The sequence below is a fragment of the Homo sapiens genome, chromosome 5 (genome assembly GCF_000001405.40).
Source record: "Homo sapiens chromosome 5, GRCh38.p14 Primary Assembly".
NCBI classification, from domain to species: Eukaryota; Metazoa; Chordata; class Mammalia; order Primates; family Hominidae; genus Homo; species Homo sapiens.
Genome location: NC_000005.10, coordinates 36,739,244 through 36,748,711, shown reverse-complemented (window position 1 = coordinate 36,748,711; position 9,468 = coordinate 36,739,244). Strand labels below are relative to the sequence as shown.

The 9,468-nt window shown below is 44.5% G+C and overlaps 1 annotated feature.

The window, feature by feature from the left end:
• Nucleotides 3,905–3,994: a silencer, noted in NCBI's record as "silent region_15974". NCBI's record gives its function as "represses an Ori minimal core promoter by ATAC-STARR-seq in GM12878 lymphoblastoid cells {active_cell/tissue: GM12878}" and the evidence as "EXISTENCE:reporter gene assay evidence [ECO:0000049][PMID:35858748]".

Here is a 9,468-nt window from a genome sequence, read left to right as displayed (position 1 = left end):
ACAGAAGGACAAAAGACAGGACGGCAGGGTCTTCTGTCAGGTTGTTTTCTCTTTCAAATTCACTTGGTGTTTCTTACTCTCAGCCCACTGGTTACAAGCATGGGCTTGTAACCCAGGTCTCTAAATCCTGGCCCTGTACTTGAGCCCATTAGCTCTGCGTGATCATGGGAAAATGACCGAACTTCTGTCATTTGTTCCTCATCTGTATCATGGGGGTAGTGACAGCACCTCCCTCTAAGGGTTAGTGTAAAGACTAGTCAGTAGGATTGTGCCTGGCATGTAGTGAGTACTCAATAAATATTAGCTGTGGTTATTATAGTGGACGGGGAAGCGTTATTGAACTAGAAGTTCTTGCCTTTTAGAAACTTTCATTTTATTTTATTTATTTTTTTAATTTTATTATTATTATACTTTAAGTTTTAGGGTACATGTGCACAATGTGCAGACTTGTTACATATGTATACACGTGCCATGTTGGTGTGCTGCACCCATCGACTCGTCATTTAGCATTAGGTATATCTCCTCCCCACTCCCCGCACCCCACAACAGTCCCCGGTGTGTGATGTTCCCCTTCCTGTGTCCATGTGTTCTTATTGTTCAATTCCTACCTATGAGTGAGAACATGCGGTGTTTGGTTTTTTGTCCTTGTGATAGTTTGCTGAGAATGATGGTTTCCAGTTTCATCCATGTCCCTACAAAGTACATGAACTCATCATTTTTTATGGCTGCATAGTATTCCATGGTGTATATGTGCTACATTTTCTTAATCCAGTCTATCATTGTTGGACATTTGGGTTGGTTCCAAGTCTTTGCTATTGTGAATAGTGCTGCAATAAACATACGTGTGCATGTGTCTTTATAGCAGCATGATTTATAATCCTTTGGGTATATAGCCAGTAATGGGATGGCTGGGTCAAATGGTATTTCTAGTTCTAGATCCCTGAGGAATCACCACACTGACTTCCACAATGGTTGAACTAGTTTACAATCCCACCAACAGTGCAAAAGTGTTCCTATTTCTCCACATCCTCTCCAGCACCTGTTGTTTCCTGACTTTTTAATGATCACCATTCTAACTGGTGTGAGATGGTATCTCATTGTGGTTTTGATTTGCATTTCTCTGATGGCCAGTGATGATGAGCATTTTTTCATGTGTTTTTTGGCTGCATAAATGTCTTCTTTTGAGAAGTGTCTGTTCATATCCTTCACCCACTTTTTGATGGGGTTGTTTGTTTTTTTCTTATAAATTTGTTTGAGTTCATTGTAGGTTCTGGGTATTAGCCCTTTGTCAGATGAGTAGGTTGCAAAAATTTTCTCCCATTCTGTAGGTTGCCTGTTCACTCTGATGGTGAAACTTTTATTTTAAAAATAGCAATTATATTCTAGATTGGGTTCTCAACCTTTTGTTCTGCTTTTTTACTGTTCACATTCAAAAGTGACAGTTCTCATTCACTAAACATTGTTAAACGCATGTCCTTCCCCACTCCCTCCTGCAACCCTTTCCCTCTAGAATCCTTGTTTGCCTTCCATTGTCTTACCAGACCTGATTGTCTCCAGCAAGGATAAAGCATGAGGGAACACTTCAAATTGTGTGTTAAATATTGTTGGAAATAGCATGTACAGGTAGTAATGTCATAGTGTGACAGAGTGATAATCTCTTCTTGGTTATGTCCTCAAGCACCAATTCAATTTGGCTCAACTCAAAATATTCATTGAGCACCTGCTGTTCTCCATGATCTGTCTTAGGCATTTGGGACATAACAGAGACAAAGAACAGAAAAAAATGCCTGCAATGTTTTGTTAACCTTAGCCCCTTTAGATGGAACAAATGAATTTTAAAAATTGTAATCATCCTTCTGATAGGGTGAGATGAGGGATGCTCCACCTTGCTTTTCACTGGTACTCACTATGTACAACTCACATGATTAAGTGCCTAGGTAAGGAACCTTGAGTACTTGACAGAATAAATTGAAGTGACTCCAGGCCATTGAGTGAAAGCTCAGTTTGAAAATGTTTAGCTTGCAGATCAATAACTCATGAGAAAGAAACAGCTTTGAAAAAGTTACAGTCTGTGATCTATGAGGGCATTGTGCCCTGGGAGGACTTAATGGACATGTAGGAGGTATGTTGGGTTATTCTGACTGGGAAGACTTCACAGGATTCTTTAAGTAGCTCTGCTGGGCCTCTCTGGGCTTCTAGAACCATCATGTTCAAATGGGAGCCATGTACCTATGATGAATACATACGTAATGTTTTAAAAGACATGTGAAATGGACTCTTGGTTATTGGTAATACATTTTAATTTTGGAACAGATATATGCTGGTTTGGTCTAAAACACAAAATTCTTTCCAGGAGAATGCGTTGTAATGGGCTGTAGCTATTGATTCAATAAATATTGATCCCTACTGTGTCAGAATATATATTCTGTCTCTATATACTTATAGACATATATGTATATGTATGAATCTGTATAGAGAGAGAATACATAAAAAATTGGTAGTAGATACTTAATACAGTGAATTTACTAAACATGCAGCACATACTGTTTACGTTGCTTCTATGATAGTCATTTCTGCCTTGTATATTCTTACCTTGTAGAGTTACATCATTCTTCTTGTTTGGATTTGGGTTCCCCATCTAGTCTCTGAGCTTTCCTGGGTTGGACTGTATAGTCCTGCTGGCTGTGCCTCTCCCCACTCTACCCCTTAGCAGTAATTAGCAGAGAGCTACTACTAAGCATCAAACGGGGCAGACATTTAGCTGAGAGCAGTTACAGTTCTCTAAAAGCCACTGCCTGTTCTGCAATTTTCTAAGGTAGTGTGTTGACACGATGGGAAATTGATAGAAAGACGTTAGAAGAAAGTATAATATGTCATAAGGCAGTCAGTGCTTCCTAAACTTTAACGTGTCTGCAGATCACCTGAGGATCTTGTTAAAGGGCAGATTCTGCCTCACTGGGTCTCCGGCAGGGCCCGTGAATCTCCATGTAACAAGTTCCCCAGTGAAGCCACGGACTAAACTCGGCAGGAGCAAGGGTATGTGTAAGGGCAGCATTGGAAATCAGACCTTTCAAAGGTAAAGAACTCAGGACGCACCCCTGCCCCAACCCTGGCTGCCCACCCCAAGCTGGGCCACCTGGGATGGCACCTGGCTGGCCCCTGAGTACTGTGTGCGTGCGGGACCCACAAGGGCCCGGCCCCTCTCCCTTCCCCCATTGCCCCAGAACCTGCCGGCTGAGCCTGAGTCGGAGCGCAGCCAGGTGAGGTGGGACGTCTCCACCCGCTCCCCCTGAGACCTGGCAGACCGGTTTTACCTGTCCTGGTCCGGAGGAGGCTCCCGACTCCACTGCAGACAATCCCTCCTCCTCCTCCCCGCCACCGTTCTAGTCGACTACTCTCTTCGTTTTGCTACCTGACACTCCCAAAGCCGCAGAAAGCAAATCCCCAGCACAGCAGCTGGTCGAGCACGGGCTCCAGCGACGTGTGTGAAACTGTTCAACCCAAAACACAAACACCAGCCACTGACATGTTTTAAGAAACGCTACAGTTGGATGACTGCGGAACCAAAACAGACCAAATGGGAGGCAAGAAGGGAAAGCAATTGGCCCAGTTCGGTTGTAGCAGCGGCTCGTGTTACACTCCCTTTGCCAGTTAGCGTCGTGGGCGTTTGTTGCTGTGTTAATTACAGTTCCTCCCGGAGTCGGAGGCGAGAACAGCCCTTGTGGAACAGTTTCAAGTGGAACGTTCCACCAGGAAGAAAACAACTGCCTTCCTCCCCAGCTGGGGAGGGATTCCGCCAGCCGCACTCGGGCAGCCCTGCGGTGCGCGCGGACACCTGCGAGCCGGGCACCCTCGCGCCCCTGCAGCGCGGCTGGAACTGGGACGCCGGGCTGGGGGCCGTGCCCAGGGGCCAGCTGCCGGGACGAAATAAAGCCTTGTTGGCTCCCCCTGAGGGACATGCCTGGCACAGCAGGCAGAGCGCACTTTTCAGTTTTCCTGTTTTCTCTAGAGTTCCTGGGAGCTCCCGGGAAGCAGCGGGGCGCGGGAGGAAGATTGTTTTATCTTCGGATGGGCGGGATGAGAATGGGCGCCAGGGATTCAGAACCAATCAGGGACAAACTTGAGACGGCGCAGCAGGGTGGAAAGTCCACGGTTGGACTTGATCCGGTTCCATATCCTACCTCTGCCTCTGATCAAGTGTGTGACTTTGGGCAAGTTGTTCCCAAGTTGCCCAAAGTCGTTCCACTTTTCTGAGCACCGTAGTCTCACACCTACCTCAAAAGATAGGGAAGAGGTCATACACCTATGTGGCATTGGCTACGTTACCGGGACCCTTCTAAACATATGATCCTCGCAGCAACTTTATAAAGAAGTACTTTTTAAATTGCCATTTCACTGGATCTGTTCTGGGTGATAGTTAGTCGTCATCAGAAATGTGATACTGTGGACGGAAGCATAAGGTTGTCCTCCCCTAGTAACAGTGATCTGTATCTCAGGAGGCTCCCTGTGGTGGGGAGTCTGGTGTCCAGAGCAGGGCTTGTGGGAGAGGGAGATGGAAGGGCTGAGTCCTAGAGATGTTAATGAATGTGCCCACGGTCACACAAGCTGATGAGTGGTAGGGCCAGGATTGGAAACAAAGTGGTCTAGTTCCAAAGTCCATGCTGTAAGCACAGCACTAAACTGCACGTTAAATGATAATGTGTATGTAAAGCACCTGAAGAATAGCAGGGAGGTTGGTGGTTTTTATTGTTTCCATTATTACAGACACATAAACATCAAACTAATCCGAACTAGCAAGGAAAGTGGCAGAGCTGTGAGGGTCCAGGTGATTAAGGAAAATCCATCAAAGGCAGCTGGACAGGAAATGAGAAATAGGAATGTGGATCTCAGCTCTAACTCCATCAATGTAGTCATGCCACCATGCAAGGTGTATCCGCAGCCTAGACGTGGTTAAAGATCCTAGAAAATCAATTAGGCCAAGCCACAGGGTGAGGATGGCTCAGCAAGAAGGGTATGAGTCTATGAGTCTACACCAGTCTCCTGTTACCAACCTGTTCTCTATCAGCTACTTAGTCCAAAAATTCTGAACTGTTAGTTTTTCTACTATTTCAAAAAATACATTTGTCTGCAGTGCTATTTGGGCTTCTTAAGAGTAAAATTCTTGGAATCAACTCAAAAACTGCAATCTAAAAACCACGGTGTGCACTAGAAACTGCCATTTATGCACACTTATGGGCTGGCACAGACACCTAAAATAATATATGGGAAGTGCTTCAGAATGAAAGCTCTGGGTAATGATATTTTAAAAGGATACCATACATGTTTTGATTGGAATGATAATCTTCCTGGGAGAATTTTGTCATGAATGTGTGACTTTTGCTCACAGTTTCATGTCCTTCTTGGTAAAGCTATTTTCAGAATAGCACAGGGACAGGGTAGAAAAGGATCAGCCCAGGAAACAGGTGAGAGTGGTACAGTTTCTGCCTATGAAGAATTGCCATGGAGGTGGAAGGCAGGTTTTTGGGTTCTACAGAGAGCTGCCTACTGATTTTTCACCAGGGCAATGCCCATTCATCAGGATAATCCAGGGCTAGCTGTGAATTTTTGCACATGGAATTAGCTTCCTATTGCTGCTGTAACAGATGACCACAAATCTGGTGGCTTAAAACAACCAAATTTATCATCTTACACTTCAGTATGGTAGAAATCTGACAAAAATATGTCTCGCTGGGTGGTAATGAATGTGTCAGGCTGCAGGACTGTGCCCCTTTCTGCAGGATCCAGGGGCAAATCCATTTCCTTTCTTCTCCAGCTTCCAGAGGCTTCCAGATTCTTCGGCTTATGGGCCCTTCCTCCATCTTTGAAGTCAGCAAGGCAGAGGCAGGCATTGCATCACTCCTGAGTCTCTCTTATGCTTCCCTCATCTTCTTTTAAGGACCCTTATGATTATGTTGGGCCCTCCCAGAGACTGCAGTATAACCTCCCTATTTTAAGGTCCTCTGATTAGCAAACTTAATTCCATCTGCAACCTAAATCCCCCTTTGCAATGTAATGTAATAGATTCACAGGCTCTGAGAATCAGGATGTGGACATCTTTGGGGGCCATTGTTCTGCCTGCCACACACCCCAAATGCTCTGGTAACAGGGATAGCCTTAATTCACAAACATATGCTCAGCACTTATTCTCTGAAAGGCACTTACTCTGTGAAAGGTACTATTAGAAGGGGCTTCTGGGTCATGCAGACCTGTGTGTGAATCCTAGCTCTGTCATTTACTAGTTATGTCATTTTAGGAGAGTTATTTAGCCTTTCCAACCTACAATCTCCTCATCTGTATAATGGAGATAATAATAGTACCTACCTTATTGAATTGTTGTTTGCATTAAATGAAATAATGCTGGAAAACACTTAACACAGTGCCTGGCATGTGATCAATATTCAATGAGTGTTTTGGTTATTATTAAGTATCACGGGTTTTGCATTGTGTCTGCCCTTGAGGAGCCTGGGGAGGAAGGCGTACTCACACACGTAGTTGCGGGGTAAGATGACACACAGAAATAGATATGAAAAAAATATAAGAAAAATATCACACTGAAGTGCTAAATGGGTAAGTGCTGTTGAGAGAAGTAGGAAAAGATATTTTTAACAATCAAGAAAGGTCAGGAATGGAGGAGGCACTATTGATGGGATGGGAACTAGAAGACAGGTTGAATTTAGAAAGGCAGAGGAGAAAATGTTGGGCACATGAGCATCTACGTGGCATATTACAAGGAGGCCGTAAATAAGAAGATTGACTTATTCTTTTGTGGAATGGAAGGTTTGTGTAGGGGTTTTGTTCATTCGTTTCCACTTTTCCCCAGAATGTTTAGGGGAAGAGTAGGCTGTCAGACTAGAAGGGACCAGACTGATAGAGGCCTAGAATACTAGGTTGTATTGTTAAAAGTTTTTCCAGTAATAATGGGGAGACATGGAAGGTTTTAGAGCAGAGGTAGTTTTAATAGCAGTGTTTAGAAAGATTACTCCAGGAGTAGTAGATGTAGATGAATTGGTGGTGAAAGAGCCTGGAGGCATGAGGCCTGTTAGGAGATATTTTCAGTGGTCTGGATAATAATGACCAGAGGAGATGTAGTAACCATCAGCCTGGGGAAAGGAGATGGATCAAGAGACACAAGAAAGCAAGAGCAAAGGGCCTTGGTGATATTTTAGATTTGCAGGGAGAGGGAAGGAATGAAAAATTCCTGGAAGGTTAGTGATGACAATAATAGAAATCAGAAATGAGTTCTATTTGCATTTTCCTGTATTTGTTTAAAATGTTGGCAGGACATACCGGTGGCGCGTGTCCAGTAGCCCATTGGAAACGTGGAACTGGAATACAAGGGAGCGGTCATAGTTGAATAATTAGGTTTGAAAGTCATCAGTGGAGAGGTGGCAGCTGTGACCCTTCATCTCTGCCCTGAAGCCTTCCATATGGTCAAACTCGTGTGAGTGCCTGCACTGGTGGCTTTCCAGCAGCGTCCCTCCTTTTTCATCCCATGTTTCCTGTCCCACTCCTTCTTATGGGCTGACTTGTGTCCCAAGTTGAAATTCTATCTCTCAGTATCTCAGAATATGACTGTATTTGGAGATGGGGCCTTTAAAGAGGTGTTAATAATTAAGGTTAAATAATTAAGCCCTAATCCAATATCACTGGTGTCCTTATAAGAAGAAGAAATTAGGACGAAGACACACACAGAGGAAAGGCCATATGAAGACACAGGGAGAACCTGGCCACCTGCAAGCCAAGGAGAGGGGCCTCAGAAGAGACCAACCCCATCTCAGGCTTCTAGCCTCTAGAATTGTGAGAGAGTAAGTTTCTGTTGTTTACACCGCCCAGTCTATGGTATTTGTTAGGCAGCCCTAGCGAGCTAACACACTTCTCCAGGGACCTGTGCCCTTGGATCACCACCCCGTTTGAGCTGAGGGCACTCCCTGCTGCCAGCTTATTCCATTGCTTACATTTTACCAGGTCTGTCTCCCAGCCCCTCATTATCTGGATCTGTTCTGGGTGGTAGTTAGTCGTCATCAGAAATGTGATACTGTGGACGGAAGCATAAGTTTATCCTCCCCCAGTAACAGTGCTCTGTATCTCAGGAGGCTCCCTGTGGTAGGGACTCTGGTGTCCAGAGCAGGGCTTGTGCGACAGGGAGGTGGTCAAAGATGCCTTTCTGAGCACCCGGCTCACAGCTGTTCGAGGACTGTTCTGCCACCTGTTCTTAAGACTGTCTCTGGCAGTGGATTCCTCCATGTGCCTCCCTCTGAAAGCATGCTCAGAACAGAAAGAAATGTGTTCCTCCTCATTAGCAACACAGAAAAAAAAATGAGATTTTATTGCACTTATAATTCATGCTTCTCTCTCTCTCTTTGCATTTAGTAATGATTCTGAATTTCAGTTGGGTCCTGTTTTTCAGGACATAAAATAAAGTGCCATGAAGACCAAGTCAGTGCTCAAAGTAGCCCTCACAAGAAACAAATAGAATGATGTGTTCTCACCACCACCCACAAAGAGCTTATCTATGAAAGGGTGGAATAGCTAGTGCTTGGAAATCCCCCATTAGCTCAACCGGTCAGATTCCAAGTCTTATCTTTTATAGACTTCTGTGACAGTGAGATATTCAGACAGGGTCCGTGAACTTGGTGACTTCTGTGTTCCTTAGGGCTGGCCTTTATGATGGATTGAGGCAGTTATTATCAGGAAGATGCTGATGAACTGTTCTCCATCTTCACAGGAGACAGAATGAGAGCAAGGGGGTGGAAGATGTGGCAAAAAGTCTTGTTAGAGCCTACTGGTAGGGGCCATTTTAGGATCTGACTAGGTTGTTCTCTAGCTCCCTCCTCTGGGAGCCTGCGGTACTACCCAGCGTTCCATTGTCAGTCCATTTACTATGCAGATTATTTTTTTACGTGCCTGTTCCTTCCAATAGACTGGGAACTCCCAAAGGAAGTTCTCTATTTTTGTCTCTATCTTGTCTCTATCTTAGTCTTTCTGCCTCAGCATCTAGCTCGCATCAGGTGAGTCCGCAGTGGATGGGGAATGAATTCATCTATGGGATAACTCACTGTCCCTTGAAAACTTTCTAGTATCCTGGAGATTGTGTGTATCAGAGAGAGAGAGAGAGAGGCTCATGAATAAACGACTCTTGGAAATGACTCTCTGATGGTTCTGTGCAAGATTTTCTTATTCTGGATATCGAAGAACTCTGTAAATACTGTAGTTGAATATCTATCATACGTCGATGATTTTGACATAATTATTGGCTGATTGACTAACAAAGGACTCGGAAACACAGGTAGTCACCAGAGGGAGAAGTGTGGCATCTTCTCTAGAGATTTTTAGGGCAAGAGTTATATTTCTGAGATGGGATGTGGACAAAATGCTAAATGCAAATTTTCCCTAGGACTTAAAGGGTGATTGGAACCATGCATGTAGGCT